Here is an 18,796-nt window from a genome sequence, read left to right as displayed (position 1 = left end):
AAGCAAAGAAACAACTAAGTGTTAGAGAGTAGATGCAGCTAATTTTGGACGTGCAGCTTCCGAGAGGGGCCTAGCCAGAGATGGGTGGGCTTCAGGTAAAGATCACCTTCCCACCCCCTTTCCAGCCTCTCTTTCCGCTGAGAGCCACCCACTGCTCAATAAAGTTGTCTGCATTCATTACCTTTCAACCCGTTCATGTGACCTGATTCTTCCTGGATGCCAGACAAGAACCAGGAAGCCCCTGAGAGTATAGGGGCTGCCACCCTGACCCTCCACTGAGCTGGTTGGCACTTGGCCATCCCTGGAAGGCAGAGCGGACAGAGCATTGGCTGTAATATGCTTGGATGCTGCTGCAGGGCCCACATAGAGCCTGCTCCCACCAGAAAGGAGCAACTGGCTGGTTCCAGAATTCGTTCACTCCAGTTCCCACACTCGCTCTCTCGCACACTCCCTCCCGTGAGGAGTGGCCAGCAGTGGGCTTAGTGAAACCAGTCACTCCACTTCCCACCCACCAAGGGGGTCAAGGGAACTATCCCATCTCATCACCACTGCACTCCAGTCTCGATGACAGAGTGAGACCTTGTCTCAAAAAAAAGAAAAAACGGCCAGGTGTGGTGGCTCACACCTGTAATCCTAGCAATTTAGGAGGCCGAGGCAGGTGGACCATTTGAGATCAGGAGTTCGAGATCAGCCTGGCCAACATGGTGAAACCCTGTCTCTACTAAAAATACAAAAATTAGCCGGGTGTGGTGGCATGTGCTTGTAGCTCCAGCTACTCGGGAGGCTGAGGCAGGAGAATCACTTGAACCCGCAAGGCAGATTGCAGAGGGCCGAGATTGCACCACTGCACTCCAGCCTGGGTGGCAGAGTGAGACTGTGTCTCAAAAAAAAAGCAAGAGAAAATTATCTCTAACATGTTGGGTTTACTTGGGAATAGAAATAAGGATTATAATCCAGAATGCAGGAAATGGCAAGCCTCCAGTGCACTCAGTGAGGGAAGGGGAGCTTTTATTAACAAAAAAGAGATTTATATAAACTGCTTAGAAACAGATCATTGTTTCTAGAGGCTCAAAGCCAGAGTTGTCATTTCATTGGTGGAGACACCTTACTGGGTAAGTGTTCTGAGAACATTTTACCTGAATTACAGCAGTCCTAAAAAATGTCTAGTGATAAACCTTATCAAATCAGGAGATGCTTGAAGGATGCGGAAGAGCTTTTTGAACATCCTTGGAAACAATTCTTAGACATATAAGCATAGGCCTCCTCTCCTTTCAACCTTCCTGGCCCTTTTTTGTCTGTGTCTGACAAAACCGATTTCATTTTGGCATCTTCAACCTTCACAAAGTCTAGAGTAAGAAGTATGGAAGTTGTCAGCTTAAGGTGCAGACATGGCCAAGTCCAAGAACCACACCACACACAACCAGTCCTGAAAATGGCACAGAAATGGTATCAAGAAACCCCGATCACAAAGATACGAATCTCTTAAGGGGGTGGACCCCAAGTTCCTGAGGAACATGCGCTTTGCCAAGAAGCACAACAAGAAGGGCCTAAAGAAGATGCAGGCCAACAATGCCAAGGCCATGAGTGCACGTGCCGAGGCTATCAAGGCCCTCGTAAAGCCCAAGGAGGTTAAGCCCAAGATCCCAAAGGGTGTCAGCCACAAGCTCGATTGACTTGCCTACATTGCCCACCCCAAGCTTGGGAAGCGTGCTTGTGCCCATATTGCCAAAGGGCTCAGGCTGTGCCGGCCAAAGGCCAAGGCCAAGGATCAAACCAAGGCCCAGGCTGCAGCTCCAGCTTCAGTTCCAGCTCAGGCTCCCAAAGGTGCCCAGGCCCCTACAAAGGCTTCAGAGTAGATATCTCTGCCAATGTGAGGACAGAAGGACTGGTGCGACCCCCCACCCCCGCCCCTGGGCTACCATCTGCATGGGGCTGGGGTCCTCCTGTGCTATTTGTACAAATAAACCTGAGGCAGGAAAAAAAAAAAAGAAGTATGGAAGTTGTCAAAATCAAAATGGAGTCACTAGTGTTAAAAAACTCACACAAAAAGAGCTGAGGAAGGCTATAAAAAGAGGGTTCTCACACTTGGATGCCTAATAACAAAAACTATCACAAAAGACTCTGCAAAAACCACAACTTTGCATAAAGGCCATCCCAACTGTACACAAAAAAATACTTCTACAAGGACATCTACCCAGCAACTGCCTGTATGACTCTGGACTGGCATCACTTTTTTTATTGATCTTTGTAGCCAAGGATAATTATCTCAAAACAATTATCCTTCTCATTTTTCCTTTAAATACCTTTATCTTTTTTTAAACCTCCCTGGATATGCACATAATTTACCACATATCTTTTTCTTTTACAGAGACTCTCTCTGTTATTTAGGCTGACAGAAAAAAAGCGAACCTGAGACTAAGCCTTGGGGAACATTTAATGAATGAGTGGGGTAGATGAACCTTCAAAGAGGACTGACGAGGTAACCAGAGAGGGAGGAAATGATCAGGAGGCATTTCTTATTAGAGAAGCCAAGGGAAGACCTTCTCAAGAAGGAGGGCATGATTAACTGTGTTAAGTGTAGCTAGGAGGTCACGCAAGAGGACTGATGTACATAGTAATTTGGATGCCATTGGTGACCTTAGCAAGAGCTATTTAGGTAGAGAGATGGAAACCAGACTAAAGAGTGTTGAGGAGGCTGGGCGCGGTGGCTCACGCCTGTAATCCCAGCATTTTGGGAGGCCAAGGTGGGTGGATCATGAGGTCAGGAGTTCAAGACCAGTCTGGCCAACATGGTGAAACCCCGCCTCTACTAAAAATACAAAAATTAGCCAGGCATGGTGGTAGGTGCCTGTAATCCCAGCTACTCGGGAGGCTGAGGCATAAAATTGCTTGAACCCGGGAGGCGGAGGTTGCAGTGAGCCAGGATTGTGCCAAGGCACTATAGCCTGGGCAACAGAGCGAGACTCCATCACACACACAAAAAAAAAGTGTTGAGGAATGAGTTGGGGGGGTGGGGAAATAGAGAACCTCCCCATCCTTTAAGTTTCAGCTTCAGTGCCACTTTTTCAGGGAATCCTTCCATAATTTTCTAAATCAGGTCCTCCTCTCACAACCTTTCATTGAATTCTTAACTTTTTTTCATGGTACTTATCACAATGTGTAATGAATTTATTTATGTGGTTATTTGTTTTATGGCTGTCTCCCCAGGAGCCCTGCATATTACATTTCCCTTTCCTTTTCTTTCTTTCTTTTTTTTTTTTTTTTTTTTTTGAGACAGGTAGTCTCACTCTGCCATCCAGGCTGCAGTGTAGTGGTACAATCACAGCTCACTACAGCCTCAACCTCCTAGGCTCAAGTGATTCCCACTTCAGCGTCCTGAGTACTGGGACTATAGGTACATGCCACCACACTTGGCTAATTTTTTTTTTTTTTTTATTTGAGATGATGTTTCAACACATTGCTCAGGCTGGTATTGAACCCCTGAACTCAAGCAATCTGCCCACCTCGGCCTCCAAGTACTGGGATTACAGGTGTGAGCCACTGCACCCGGCCCCTGCATATTTTCTGCACTATCACCAGCACCTGCCTCAAACCTAAGGCATAGTAGGAGCTCAGTAAATACTCACTATATAAATAGCACTTAAGCACCCAGCATATTACATTCATTATCTCATTTAATCCATTTCTGAGTTGAGGAAATTACAGAGAGAGTTTAGGCAACTTGCCCCAGGTCATACAGCAAGTGAATAGTGGAGTCAGAATCCAAAGCCAGGTTATCAGATACCAAAAGTTTAATGATTTTGAATTCTACCTTCCCAGTTGAAATTTCAAATCAATTCAGTAAATATTTATTGAGGTTGCAGTGAGCCGACATCACACCACTGCATTCCAGCCTGGGTAACAGAAACTCCATCTCAAAAAAAAAAAAAAAATGCCAGGCACGGTGGCTCACACCTGTAATCCCAGAAGTTTGGGAGGCCGAGGAGGGCGGATCACGAGGTCAGGAGATCGAGACGATCCTGGCTAACACAGCAAAACCCCGTCTCTACTAACAATACAAAAAATTAGCCGGGCATGGTGGCAGGCGCCTGTAGTCCCAGCTACTTGGGAGGCTGAGGCAGGAGAATGGCGTGAACCCGGGAGGCGGAGCTTGCGGTGAGCTGAGATCATGCCACTGCACTCCAGCCTGGGCGACAGAGCAAGACTCTGTCTCAAAAAAAAAAAAAAAATGTTTCTTGCCTGTAGTCCCAGCTACTCAGGAGGCTGAAGCAGGAGAATTGCAGACTGGGAGTAATTTTGCTTGGTGAAAAACACAAAACTGAATAAGACAGAAATCTGTACGCTCAAGAAAGTTTAGAATTCAATGAGACAGATGTGTAAACAAATGAAATAAGATGCTAACACTTTACTTATTTATTAATTCTTTTTTATTCTAAGATAGTCTATCACAAAGCTGAGGGATTTTTCCTTTCTTTTTTTTTTTTGAGATGGAGTCTCGCATTGTCACCCAGGCTGGAGTGCAGTGGGTGCGATCTCAGCTTACTGCAACCTCTGCCTCCCAGGTTCAAGCCATTCTCATGCCTCAGCCTCCCAAGTAGCTGGGATTACAGACGTGAGCCATCGTGCCCGGTCAGCTGAGGAATTTCTCAAGGGATCTAAAAGATCTTTAGACTCAGGGCAAAGATGTGCCTGGTCAGCCTCAGGACAAATCTCAAAACTTTGGGAGGCTGAGGCAGGAGGATCACTTGAGCTCAAGAGTTCCAAACCAGGCTGGGCAACATAGTAGAGACCACATCTCTACTAAAAAAAAAAAAAAAGAAGAAAAGATGAAATTAACTAGGCATAGTGGTGGGTGCCTGTAGTCCCAGCTACTTGGGAGGCTGAGCCGGGAGAATGGCTTGAGCCTAGGAGATAGAGGCTGCAGTGAGCTATGATCGTGCCACTGCACTCCAGCCTAGGCGATCCTGTCTCAAAACTAAAAGAAATAAAATAAAAAGCCAAATATATTTAAAGAACTGTCTTCTGAGAGTATGGTTTTTTTTTATTTTTTGAAGTTAGTCATTTTACATTATTATTATAAAATGACAGTGATAATAGATACTGTTTTTCAGTGCCTTGACAACATTTTTTAAAAGGCAAAACTATGTTAGTTCTCAAAACCACTTTTTAAACATTTCTTAATAGTGACATCCCTAAGTCCGATGGTCTCTATTCTAAAGAAATAATTGGAGATGGGAGAGCCTAGTGTTATGGGAGAACTGCCAAATTATTGCTGATAACAATATTGATGGGAACTTATGCAAAGGCTGTGGTTGGGGTCTAAGAGGAGAGGCTGCATCACAGAAACTTTTTTTTTTTTTTTTTGAGACAGTCTTGCTCTGTCGCCCAGGCTGGAGTACAGTGGCGTGATCTCAGCTCACTGCAACCTCTGCCTCCCGGGTTCAAGCAATTCTCCTGCCTCAGCCTCCTGAGTAGCTGGGACTACAGGCGAGAAACATTTTTTTTTTTTTTGAGATGGAGTCTCACTCTCTTGCCCAGGCCAGAGTGCAGTGCAGTGCAGTGCTGCGATCTCGGCTCACTGCAACCTCTGCCTCCCGGGTTCAAGTGATTCTCCTGCCTCAGCCTCCCAAGTAGCTGGGATTACAGGCGCCCACGACCACGCATGGCTAATTTTTGTATTTTTAGTAGAGACAGGGTTTCACCATGTTGGCCAGGCTGGTCTGGAATTCCTGACTTCAAGTGATCCACTTGCCTTAGCCTCCCAAAGTGCTGGGATTATAGGCGTGAGCCACTGCACCCGGCCTCCACAGAAACATTTCTAAAGAGATATTAAGAGAACTTAATAGTGCACTGAGCACAGAGAGAGAGGAGTTGAGCATGAGACCCAGGTTTCTGGCTTGGGTTGCTGGGTGGAGACGGGTACCGCTCCCTAAGATAGAGAATGAAGGAGGAGAGGTAGGTTTTGGAAGAAGTGGAATGGAAGATAAGCTTTGGGTATTCTAAATTTGAGATGCCTGCAGGGCACCCAGGCAAAGATATCTGGTAGTCAGTTAGAAATATGCATCTAGAGATACAGACACGGGAGTAATTAGGCCCTCCGTGTGGCAGAGGCTATGAACAAGACCATTCAGGAAGACAGGAAGGGGACCAAAAAACAAAACACAACCCACAAGGACACTAATGTTTTGGAGATTTTGTTTGTTTGTGGGGAGAGTGGGACACTACAAGGGAATGGTAAGACAAGAAGGAGAAAATGCTGTAGAGAAAAATCACATGAAGGTAAGGAGAGAAAATGTTTCATGAAATAGTTTGATCACCTATGTCAGCTGTTGTAGAAAGATCAAGTAGTACAAAGTCTCACAATAGACTGTTGACTTCAGATAGAGCAATTTTGTTAGGGGGCATCAAAACAGGCTACGTAGGAGAGATTGTGATGTACTTTCCTGGACACCAACTCAAGGGACAAAGTGTGAAAGTTGTCAGAATCATAATGGAGTCACTTGTGTTAAAAACCCTTACAAGGCCGGGGATAGTGGTGCACATCTGTAATCCCAGCACTTTGGGAGGCCAAGGCTGGCATAACATTTGAGTCCAGGAGAGTCCAGGAGTTCAAGACCAGCCTAGGTAGCATGGTGAAACCCTATCTGTACAAAACATACAAAAATTAGCTGGCATGGTGGCCCATGCCTGTAGTCTCAGCTACTTGGGAGGCTGAGGAGGATGGTTTGAGCCTAGGAAGTGAAAGCTACAATGAGCTATGATCGTGCCACTGCACTTCAGCCTTGGGGACAAAGTAAGACTCTGTCTCAAAAAAAAAAAAAGCCAAACAACAAAACCCTGAAAAATAGAGCCTCAGAAAGCCATGAAGGGAGGATTCTCATGCCCAAAGTCTGATAACAAGAATTACGGTAAAAGACTGCAAAAATGACAGCCTTGCACAAAGGCCATAGCAATCTTGCAAAACTAAACAAAACAAAACATTTCTGTGAGGACACCTGCCCAGCAACTGCTTGTCCATACTCTGACTGGCTCCACCCTCGTTATTGATCCTTTTAGCCAGTGATCCTCCTCATTTTTCCTTTAAAAAACTTGTCTTCCTAGGCCGGGCACAGTGGCTTACACCTTAATCCCAGCACTTTGAGAGGCCGAGGCAGATGGATCACCTGAGGTCAGGAGTTCAAGACCAGCCTGGCCAACATGGTGAAACCCCCGTCTCTACTAAAAATACAAAAAATAGGTGGGTGTGGTGGTGGGCACCTGTAATCCCAGCTTCTCGGGAGGCTGAGACAGGAGATTTGCTTGAACCCCAGAGGTGAAGTTTGCAGTGAGCTGAGATCGTGCCATTGCACTCCAGCCTGGGCAACAGAGCAAGACTCCGTGTCAAATAATAATAATAATAAAATAAAAAGCTTGTCTTCTTTTACTTCCTTGAAATACACATTCTTTCTCAATCATAGTTGTATCCAATAACATCCTAAATTACTTACTTTTTTTTCTTTTCCATTCAAGGTGACAGAAGTGGAACTAAATTACTTATTAATCTTATAATTTATCTCCTTTTGTAGTTGGAATAAAGTTAGATACCTAATAGTAGAAATTTACCTTCTGTGGTGTCCACGTATTGAGGCTTACGCTTTGGGGAAAACATATATGGTTCAAAGCAGTATTCTTTTTTTTTTTTTTTTTTTTTTAGTAGAGGCGGGGTTTCACCATGTTGGCCAGGCTTGTCTCAAACTCCTGACCTCAGGTGATCCACCCACCTTGGCCTCCCAAAGTGCTGGAATTACAGGCGTGAGTCACCGCGCCCAGCCCAAAGCAATATTCTTATGCCCAAGATGTCAGGAGTATCGTTACCCACATGAAAGTTTTCTTTTTTTTCTTTTTCTTTTTTTTTTTTTCTGAGACAAGCTCTTGCTCTGTTACCCAGGCTGAAGTGCAGTGGCACGATCTTGGCTCACTGCAGCCTCCACCTCTAGGTTTAAAGTGATCCCATGCCTCAGCCTCCCAAGTAGCTAGTAGCACAGGCATGTGCCACCACACCCAGTTAATTTTAGTATTTTTAGTAGAGACAGGGTTTCACCATGTTAGCCAGGCTAGTCTCTAACTGCTGACTTCAAGTGATCCTCCAGCCTCTGCCTCACAAGTTGCTGGGATTACAGGCATGAGCCACCACACCCAGCCCTCATGCAAATTTTCAAGTGCTTATTGGCCAGGGCTGTGTAGGATTTAATATCAAGTGTTCATGAAAGAAAGCTTAGAGCTAGATGAAATACTTTGCCTAGACTCATGGAGTCTTTCCCCGAGCAGATTTCTGGAGTTCCTTCTCTCTATTTTTTTTTTTTTTTTTTTTTTGAGACAGAATCTCACTCTATCACTCACTCTGTCACTGTAGTGCAGTGGCACAATCTTGACTCACTGCAGCCTCAGCCTCCTGGGCTCAAGCAATCTTCCCACCTCAGCCTCCTGAGTAGCTGGGATTACAGGCGCATGCCACTGCAATCGGCTACTTTTTTTTTTTTTTTTTTTGAGACGGAGTCTCACTCTGTCACCCAGGCTGGAGTACAGTGGTGTGATCTCAGCTCACTGCAACCTCCACCTCCCAGGTTCAAGCAATTCTCCGCCTTAGCCTCCTGAGTAGCTGGGATTACAGGTGCATGCTACCACACCTGGCTTATTTTCCTATTTTTAGTAGAGATGGGATTTCACTATGTTGGTCAGGTTGGTCTTGAACTCCTGACCTCAAGCAATGTGCCTACCTTGACCTGCCAAAGTTCTGGGATTACAGGTGTGAGCCACTTCACCTGGCCTGGAGTTTCTTTTCTGTGCAGCTTCTTTCTCTCTGATATGTCTCCTCAGCTCAGAGATACCACCACACAAGACAGTGTTTCCACACAAAGAGCCAGGGTGATTGTGAATCTTGCATCATTTCCCTGTCATCTGGTATCACAGTTCTGTGTTTCCTATTGGTGGATGTCTAAAAGGACTTATTTCTTTTTCCAACTTTGACAGCTGCGTATAATGGGAAGTCTTGTCCAGTATCAGTCCTTTTCCTACATCAAGGCTGAAAGTGGAAGCACTTCCACATTGCAGGCTTTCTGTCAACATCTGGTGGGCTTTGCTTGCCAGTTTTTATTTATATTTATTTATTTATTTATTTAGTGAGATGAAGCCTCACTCTGTCACCCAGGCTGCAGTGCAGTGGCACGATCTCAGCTCACTTCAACCTCTGCCTCCCGGGTTCAAGTGTTTCTCCCACCTCAGCCTCCCGAGTAGCTGGGACTACAGGTGCCCACCACCATTCCTGGCTAATTTTTCTATGTTTAGTAAAGACGGGGTTTCATCATCTTGGCCAGGCTGGTCTCAAACTCCTGACCTCAAGTGATCCACCCCTGCTTCAGCCTCCCAAAGTGCTGGGATTACAAGCATGAGTCACTACACCCAGCCCAGTTTTTTGTTTTTAAATGATGCAGTAGAAAAACTGACTGGGAACTCAGTATTTTTAGGTAGAGCTTTGTCAATTAGGAGGTTTGCTTTAGTGTGAATGGATGAAAAGCAGACCATGTACTTTGGAAAACAGACATTGTTGGATGCTTACCCAGAATTCATTTTTAGTTTTTCCCTTGCTAACATAATCCTTCTTTGGGTTCAGGTGTCCACGCTTTTCTGCCTAGCTAGGTGAACCTGTCCTTAACTCAAGGGTAAATCCTGATTTGGCTAAACTAATACATGAGAATTCCAATTCCTCTTGCCAGTGGTTTGTTTAGGCATCGGCTTGTGTTGCAATTTTGGTCAATGAAACATGGAGGGCCAGGCATGGTGGCTCACACCTGTAAACCCAGTGCTTTGGGAGGCTGAGGTGGGAGGATCTCTTGAGCTCAGGCATTCAAGACCAGCCTGGGCAATATAGCGAGACCCAGGCTCTGCAAAAAATACTTTAAAAATTAGCTGGGTAGTGGCACAAACCTGTAATCCCAGCTACTCAGGAGGCTGAGATGGGATGATCACTTGCACTCAGGAGGTAGAGGTTACAGTGAGCCAAGATTGCACCACTGCACTCCAGCCTGGGTGACAAAGCGAGACACCCTGTCTCAAAAAACAAAAACAAAAACAAAAACATGGAGGTAAAACCGTTGGGAACTTCTGGAAAAAGTGCTTCAAATTAAAAAAAGAGACCAAAATATCGTTTCTTTTCTTCTTTAGATGTTTTCAAGTCTATGAATAATCCCTGGGGATATGAAGAGCACAGGACAGAGAGGTGGAATGATGCTGGGCCCTTGATGGTGTCATTCAGCCATTGAATTGGGAAATCCTAGTCACTCTACATTCAAACATGTAAGATATCACATCTCCACATTTTTAGAATTAGAGATTTCTGATACCTATAAATAAAGTCATCCTAAGTGATGCAAACTCCAGAATACACAGGACTTGGTGCTTAAATGTGAACTTCCTTTCTAATTTCCATAATGCTTCCAGATTATTTGTTAAATTTCTTAGAAGAGAACACTCTATTTTTTTTAGCTTTGTTGCTGTTGTTGTATTTTTTCCTAGAAGATGGAGAAACACCTAAACTGCAGACATTATGCTTGTAAGAGTAGACTTGCTGACTTAATTCTTGATATAAACTTTAAGTTAATTCTTCCTTTTTAAGCCCCAGGTCCCACTCTCTGGCCTGCTTAGTGTTTCCAAGTCCTGAATTTCTCAGAGGTTTTGCAGGGCTAATTGGGTCCCTTTTCAAAGCATCTTATTCTACTGACTTCTTGGCTGTGCTTCCTCCACACTATTTCATGACTTTTCTCTCCTTCATCAAATTTCAGTCAGAACTTTTATAACTCTCATCCCCAGAAGCCCTGCTCCTGTCTTATGTGTTGTGGATTGATTTAAAAAAAAATTCCTTTAGTATCATTTTAATAAGGTCCTGGTGAGAGGTGAGGCCAGCTGGACTTCCTGGGTCGAGTGGGGACTTGGGGAACTTTCCTGTATTACAAGAGGTTTGTAAAATGCACCAATCAGCACTCTGTAAAATGCACCAATCAACGTTCTGTAAAACGCACCAATCAGTGCTCTGTAAAATGCACCAATCAGCGCTCTGTAAAATGCACCAATCAACAGGAGTCTAAAAGTAGCCAATCACGAGGAGGATTGAAAAAAGGGCACTCTGATAGGACAGAAATGGAACATGGGAGGTGACAAATAAAGGAATAAAAGCTGGCCACCCCAGCCAGCAGCAGCAACCCGCTCAGTTCCCCTTTCATGCTGTGGAAGCTTTGTCCTTTTGCTCTTCACAATAAATCTTGCTACCACTCACTGTTTGGGTCCGTGCCATCTTTAAGAGCTGTAACACTCACCGCAAAGGTCCATGGCTTCATTATTGAGGTCAGCAAGACCACGAACCCACCGGCAGGAACCAACTCCTGACATATCTTGTGGGCTCGTCCAGGATATTGCCACGTGGTGAGTACCATCAGACCCCTTTCACTTGCTATTCTGTCCTATTTTTCCTTAGAATTCAGGGACTAAACACTGGGCATCTGTTGGCCAGTTAAAAGCAACTAGTGTGGCTGCTGTACTAAAGACACGGGTGTCAGGCTTTCTGGGAAAGGGCTCTCTAATAACCTCTGACTCTTTGGAAGCGGAAGTGTTGGTTTGCCTGCAACCAGCTTCTGCTTTTCCTGCACTTCTGGGCTGAGCCAAGGGTCAACAGAGAGGAAAGCCATTCAGCTCCAGGGTCCTGACAAAAAGTGGTTGACCCTGCAGCCATGAGTGGAACTCTCAAAGTTATGTCACCCAAGCGAGACTTGCCCACCTATCCTATCTATCCTGACCCTTGCCTCCTGGGTCCTAATGCCTGTCAGACAAACTTCCTCCCACCTCTCTTTTCTGAGGCTAGTCCTGAGTCTAAAAACCACTCCCTGTCCCTGGTGCTCTTCTAGTTTCTCCTATAAGGATGATTTATAATATAAATTTCGGGATTCTGCTCCCTTTTTTAGGCACCTGGGCTCACCAATCAGAAAGACATAATTTTTGCCTGAAGCCCCATCAGTGGGGGCACTATCTGGAATTTTAGGATCCCTCGTCAGACTAGCAGGCCTAACAAAGCCTATTCCCGAAGCTAGGATATGGGGAGCCACAGAAATTACAGACTCCAAATTTGGGGGGATATCCTTCCTATTCATATGATGAGAAGTGAGGACAAAAGGAGTCACTCTTCCAACCCTGGAGATCCCTTCTCTCCCTCAGGGTATGGCCCTCCACTTCATTTTGAGGCATATCATCTTTATAGGACAAGGGTAAGGTCCCAATACCAACAGGAGAAATCGCTTAGGACTTTAACAGGTTTTTGAGAATACATTGGTAAGGGCCACTAAATCCAACCTTTCTCAGTCCTCTTTGTGGTCTAAGAGGAAAGGCAAGGGTGCAGGTTTTCAAGAATGCATCAGTAAGGGCCACTAAATCCGAACTTCCTCAGTCCTCTTTGTGGTCTAGGAGGAAAACTAGTGTTTCCACTGCTGCTTCGGTGAGCACAACTACTCTGAATAGCAGGGTCTAGGGACTGTTGTGGGTTCTTGGGCGGGGAAAAAAAAAGCAGACCAAAACAGGGGCAGTTTTTTCTTTCAGATGGGAAACACTCGGGCATCAACAAGCTTACCCTTGAGATGCATCCTAAGCCATTGGGACCAATTTGACCTGCAAACCTTGAAAAAGAAGGGCTTTTCTTTTTCTGCACTATGGTCTGGCCCCAACATTCTCTCTCTGATGGGGAAAAATGGCCACCTGAGGGAAGTATAAATTACAATACTTTCCAACGAGAAACAAGCCACCCCCTCGCTCATGTCCACTATGCCAAGGCAATCACTGGAAGGCACACTGCCCCAGAGGACAAAGGTTCTCTGGGCCAGAAGCCCCCAACCAGATGATCCAACAACAGGAATGAGGGTGCCTGGGGCAAGTGCCAGCTCATGCCGTCACCCTCACTGAGCCCCGGGTAAGATTAACCACTGAGGGCCAGGAAATTGACTTCCTCCTGGACACTGGCGTGACCTTCTCCGTTTTAATCTCCTGCCCTGGACGGCTGTCCCCAAGGTCCGTTACCATCTGAGGAATCCTGGGACAGCCTGTAACCAGGTATGTCTCCTACCTCCTCAGCTTGACCTTTTCTGTAAGAGGGAAGGCAAATGGAGTGAAATACGTTATGTCCAAGCTTTCTTTTCATAGAAGGATAATCCAAAACTATGCAAAGCTTGCAATTTACATTCCACAGGAGGGCCTCTCAGCTTACCTCCATATCCTAGCCTCCCTACAGCTCCCCTTCCTATTAATTGTAAGCCTCCTCTAACTTCCCCCACCCAGAAGGAAACAACCAAAGAAATCTCTAAGGGGCTACAAAACCCCTCAGGCTATCGGTTATGTCCCTTTCAAGCTGTAGGGGGAGGGGAATTTGGCCCAACCAGGGTACACATCTCCTTCTCTCTCTCTGATTTAAAGCAGATCAAGGTAGACCTGGGGAAGTTTTCAGGTGATCCTGATAGGTATATAGATGTCCTACAGGGTCTAGGGCAAACCTTCAACCTCACTTGGAGAGATGTCATGCTATTGTTAGATCAAACCCTGGCCTTTAATGAAAAAAATGTGGCTTTAGCTGCAGCCTGAGAGTTTGGAGATATCTGGTATCTTAGTCAAGTAAATGATAGAATGACAGCTGAAGAAAGGGACAAATTCCCTACTGGTCAGCAAGCCATCCATAGTATGGATCCCCACTGGGACCTAGACTCAGATCATGGGGACTGGAGTTGCAAACATCTGTTGACCTGTGTTCTAGAAGGACTAAGGAGAATTAGGAAAAAGCCCATGAATTATTCAATGATGTCCTCAGGAAAAGGAAGAAAATCCTTCCGCCTTCCTTGAGTGACTACAGGAGGACTTAAGAAAATATACTCCCCTGTCACCCAACTCCCTCGAGGGTCAATTGATCCTAAAAGAGAAGTTTATTACCCAATCAGCCACAGATATCAGGAGAAAGCTCCAAAAGTTAGCCCTGGGCCCTGAACAAAATTGGGAGGCATTATTAAATCTGGCAACCTCAGTGTTCTATAATAGGCACCAAGAGGAACAGGCCGAAAAGGAAAAGCGAGATAAGAGAAAGGCCACAGCCTTAGTCATGGCCCTCAGGCAAACAAACCTTGGTGGTTCAGAGAGGCCAGAAAACGGAGCAGGCCAATCACCTGGTAGGGCTTGTTATCAGTGTGGTTTGCAAGGACACTTTAAAAAAGATTGTCCAACGAGAAACAAGCTGCCCCCCCACCCCCGTCCACTATGCCAAGGCAATCACTGGAAGGTGCACTGCCCCAGAGGACCAAGGTTCTCTGGGCCAGAAGCCCCCAACCAGATGATCCAACAACAGGACTGAGGGTGCCTGGGGCAAGCGCCAGCTCATGCCATCACCCTCACTGAGCCCCAGGTAAGTTTAACCACTGAGGGCCAGGAAATTGACTTCCTCCTGGACACTGGCGTGACCTACTCAGTTTTAATCTCCTGCCCCGGATGGCTGTCCCCAAGGTCCGTTACCACCTGAGGAATCCTGGGACAGCCTGTAACCAGGTATTTCTCCCACCTCCTCAGTTGTAATTGGGAGACTTTGCTCTTTTCACTTGCCTTTCTTGTTATGCCTGAAAGTCTTACACTCTTATTAGGGAGGGACATATTGGCCAAAGCTGGAGCTATTATCTATATGAATATCGGGAACAAGTTACCCATTTGTTGTCCCCTACTTGAGGAGGGAATTAACCCTGAAGTCTGGGCATTGGAAGGACAATTCAGAAGGGCAAAAAAATGCCCACTCAGTCCAAATCAGGCTAAAAGACCCTACCACTTTTCCTTATCAAAAGCAATATCCCTTAAGGCCTGAAGCTCATAAAGGATTAAAGGACATTGTTAGACATTTAAAAGTTCAAGGCTTAGTAAGGAAATGCAGCAGTCCCTGCCACACCTCAATTTAGGAGTACAAAAACTGAACAGTCAGTGGAGACTAGTGCAAGATCTTAGACTCATCAATGAGGCAGTAATTCCTCTATATCCAGTTGTACCCAACCCTTACACCCTGCTCTCTCAAATACCAGAGCAAGCAGAATGATTCACTGTTCTGGACCTCAAGGATGCCACCTTCTGCATTTCCCTGCACTCTGACTCCCAGTTTCTGTTTCCCTTTGAGGATCCCACAGACCACACATCCCAATTTACATGGACAGTCTTGCCTCAAGGGTTTAGGGATAGCCCTCATCTGTTTGGTCAGGCACTGGCCCAAGATTTAGGCCACTTCTCAAGTCCAGGCACTCTGGTCCTTCAGTATGTGGATGATTTACTTTTGGCGACCAGTTCGGAAGCCTTATGCCAGCAGGCTACTCTAGATCTCTTGAACTTTCTAGCTAAGCAAGGGTACAAGGCATCTAAATCGAAGGCCCAGATCTGCCTATAATAAGTCAAAAATCTAGGCCTAATCTTAGCCAGAGGAAGCCTGGGCCCTCAGCAAAGAACAAATACAGCCTATACTGGCTTGTCCTTGCCCTAAGACATTAAAACTGTTGCAGGGGTTCCTTGGGATCACCAGCTTTTGCTGACTATGGATCCCTGGATACAGTGAGATGGCCAGGCCACTCTATACTCTAATCAAGGAGACTCAGAGGGCAAATATTCATCTAATAGAATGGGAACCAGAGGCAGAAACAGCCTTCAAAACCTTAAAGTAGGCCCTAATACAAGCTCCAGCCTTAAGCTTTCCCACAGGACAAAACTTCTCTTTATACGTTACAGAGAGAGCAGGAAGGGCTCTTAGAGTCCTTACTCAGACTCGTGGGACAACCCCACAACCAGTGGCCTACCTAAGTAAGGAAATTGATGTAGTAGCAAAAGGCTGCCCTCACTTTTTACAGGTAGTTGTGGCAGTGGCCAGCTTAGTATCAGAGGCTGTCAAAATAATATAAGGAAAGGATCTCACCGTCTGGACTACTCATAATGTAAATGGCATACTAGGTGCCAAAGGAAATTTATGGCTATCAGACAACTGCCTGCTTAGATACCAGGAGCTACTCCTTGAGGGACTGGTGCTTCAAATATGCATGTGTGCGGCCCTCAACCCTTTTCTCCCAGAGGATGGGGAACCAATCGGGCATGACTGCCAACAAATTGTAGCCCAGACTTATGCCACCCGAGAGGATCTCTTAGAAGTCCCCTTAGCTAATCCTGACCTTAACCTACATACCAATGAAAGTTCATTTGGGGAGAATGGGATACAAAGGGCAGGTTATGCCACAGTTAGTGACAGTACTTGAAAGTAAGCCTCTTCCCCCAGGGACCAGCACCCAGTTAGCAGAACTAGTGGCACTTACCCGAGCCTTAGAACTGGGAAAGGAAAAAAGAATAAATGTGTATACAGATATCAAGTATGCTTATCTAATCCTACATGCCCATGCTGCAATATGGAAAGAAAGGGAGTTCCTAACCTATGGGGGAACCCCCATTAAATACCACAAAGAAATCATGGAGTTATTGCATGCAATGCAAAAACCCAAGGATGTCACAATCTTACACTGCTGAAGCCATCAAAAAGATGAAGGAGAGAAGGCAGAAGGAAACTGTCAGGCAGACGCTGAGGCCAAAATTGCTGCCAGGCAGAACCTCCCATTAGAAATACCTATGGAAGGACCCTTGCTATGGAACAACCCTCTCCAAGAGATTAAGCCCTAGTATTCCCCAACCAAAACAGAATGGGGACTTTCACAGGGGGCACTTTCATCGTTTTCTCCCCTTGGGGTGGTTAACGACAGAAGAGGGAAAGGTACTCATACCCGAAGCCAGCCAGTGGAAAATACTTAAGACCCTCCACTAAACTTTTCATATGGGTATTGCGAACACTCATCAAATGGCCAAATCCCTATTTACAGGGCCAAATCTCCTCTGGACCATCCGACAAGTAGTCAAAGCCTGTGAGGTGTGCCAAAGGAATAATCCTTGGTCCATTGTAAGGCCCCTCTTGGGGAACAAAGAATAGGGCACTATCCCAGAGAGGATTAGCAGTTAGACTTGACCCATATGCCTAAGTCAAGGGGATTTCAATACTTGTTGGTCTGTGTTGATACCTTTACAAATTGGACAGAAGCCTTCCCCTGCAAGACAGAGAAGGCTCAGGAAGTGGTTACAGTCCTAATTCATGAAATATAGATTTGGGCTTCCCTAAAGCTTACAAAGCAACAATGGTCTGACTTTTAAAGCCACGGTAACTCAGGGAATTTCCAGGGTGCTAGGGATACAATATCACCTTCACTGCTCCTGGAGGCCACAACCCTCAGGGAAGGTCAAGAAGGCAAATGAAACACTCAAGAGGCACTTAAGGAAACTAATACAAGAAACTCATCTCCCATGGCCTACTCTTTTTCCCATGGCCTTGTTAAGAATCCGAAATTCTTCTCACAAAATATGGCTCAGTCCATATGAAATGCTGTATGGACGACCTTTTCTCACAGATGACCTCCTACTTGATCAGGAAACAGCCAACTAGGTCAAGGATATAACTTCCTTGGCAAAATATCAACAAAACCCTAAAAACCTACCCGAAGGATGTCACAGAGACAAGGGAACAGAATTGTTCCAACCGGGAGATCTAGTGTTGGTCAAGTCCCTCTCCTCTACCTCCCCATCCATGAATTCCTTGTGGGAAGGACCAAACTCAGTAATCCTCTGTACCCCCACTGCAGTTAAGGTGGCAGGAGTGGAATCTTGGATTCACTACACCCAAGTTAAACTTTGGACACCCCCTGAAGAACCTGCGGGATCATCAGCTCAGGCGTCCCAAGTTCAGCCAGACCAGCCTCGATACACCTGTGAACCATTGAAGGATTTGCGTCTCCTATTTTGGAAGGAAACGTCCCAGATTAAAAAGGCTCCCACAGCTGATCCTGAGGAAAAACCCCTTCCTACTTAAAAAGATAAGTGAAAACCTACATAATCTTTAACACCTCTCCTTTCCCCTTTAATGGAATCCTTTTACTGTTTCATCACGTTATTAAGCAGTATATTAACCATACTCTTTGCAGCAGAACTATATACTGTAGCTCCTGCTGGGACAAAAATCCTAATCACATCAACCTTTTTTCTATCGTCCTTCCCTCTAACAGCAATTTACTCCTACCTTTAACTCAGACTGAATAAAATGACCTCATCTTCCAGGGGACCCTCTTTATCTTCCTACTTACTCTTTGCCTATGTATCCCTCCTGCTTCCTTGGATACCCCACATAGTCGCCCCTCCCCTTCCACTAGCTCCTAATTACCTCTACAAGACTCTCAACTTAACCCACTCTCTGTTAAACCAGTCCAATCCTTCCCTGGCAAATTACTGTCAGCTTTGTATCTCTCTATCAGCCACTGCTTACGTTGCCACTCCCATTCCCGCAAAAAAAAAAGGGGGGGTTTTTACTAACATAACCTACCACCCCCATTATGAAAGAAGACATCCTTTCCAACTTCTAAATATATAATCATTAGCCGACTTCCTCATCTTTGATAGGACCAAAAATACCGTAACAGGATGTGTAATCCAGCTTTTATGTTCTTACGTTGCCAACCTCACCTATTACACGAGCAATGAAAAGCCCATACACGGCCCTGTAACCACGAATATGTCTTAACTTTCCAAGCCCCTTTATGCATCCAAAGCAACCTGTTATCAGGCCTGCCCCTGGAGCATCTACTATCCCATCAGTGTAATTACACCCTACAACTTCAAGCCCCAACTGATCATAGTA

General features: G+C 45.5%; 1 pseudogene, besides 1 other annotated feature; it reads left to right on the top strand.

Moving 5' to 3' along the window:
* Positions 1,374–1,977, top strand: RPL29P26 (ribosomal protein L29 pseudogene 26; annotated as a pseudogene).
* Positions 16,178–16,402: a silencer, noted in NCBI's record as "fragment chr12:95846624-95846848 (GRCh37/hg19 assembly coordinates)". NCBI's record gives its function as "represses an EF-1alpha promoter that drives an FKBP-Casp9 reporter gene in an ReSE screen in K562 erythroleukemia cells {active_cell/tissue: K562}" and the evidence as "EXISTENCE:reporter gene assay evidence [ECO:0000049][PMID:32094911]".

Source organism: Homo sapiens, chromosome 12 (genome assembly GCF_000001405.40).
Source record: "Homo sapiens chromosome 12, GRCh38.p14 Primary Assembly".
Taxonomy (NCBI): Eukaryota; Metazoa; Chordata; class Mammalia; order Primates; family Hominidae; genus Homo; species Homo sapiens.
The sequence above is the reverse complement of the archived record's forward strand: the minus strand, read 5'-3'. Positions and strand labels throughout refer to the sequence as shown.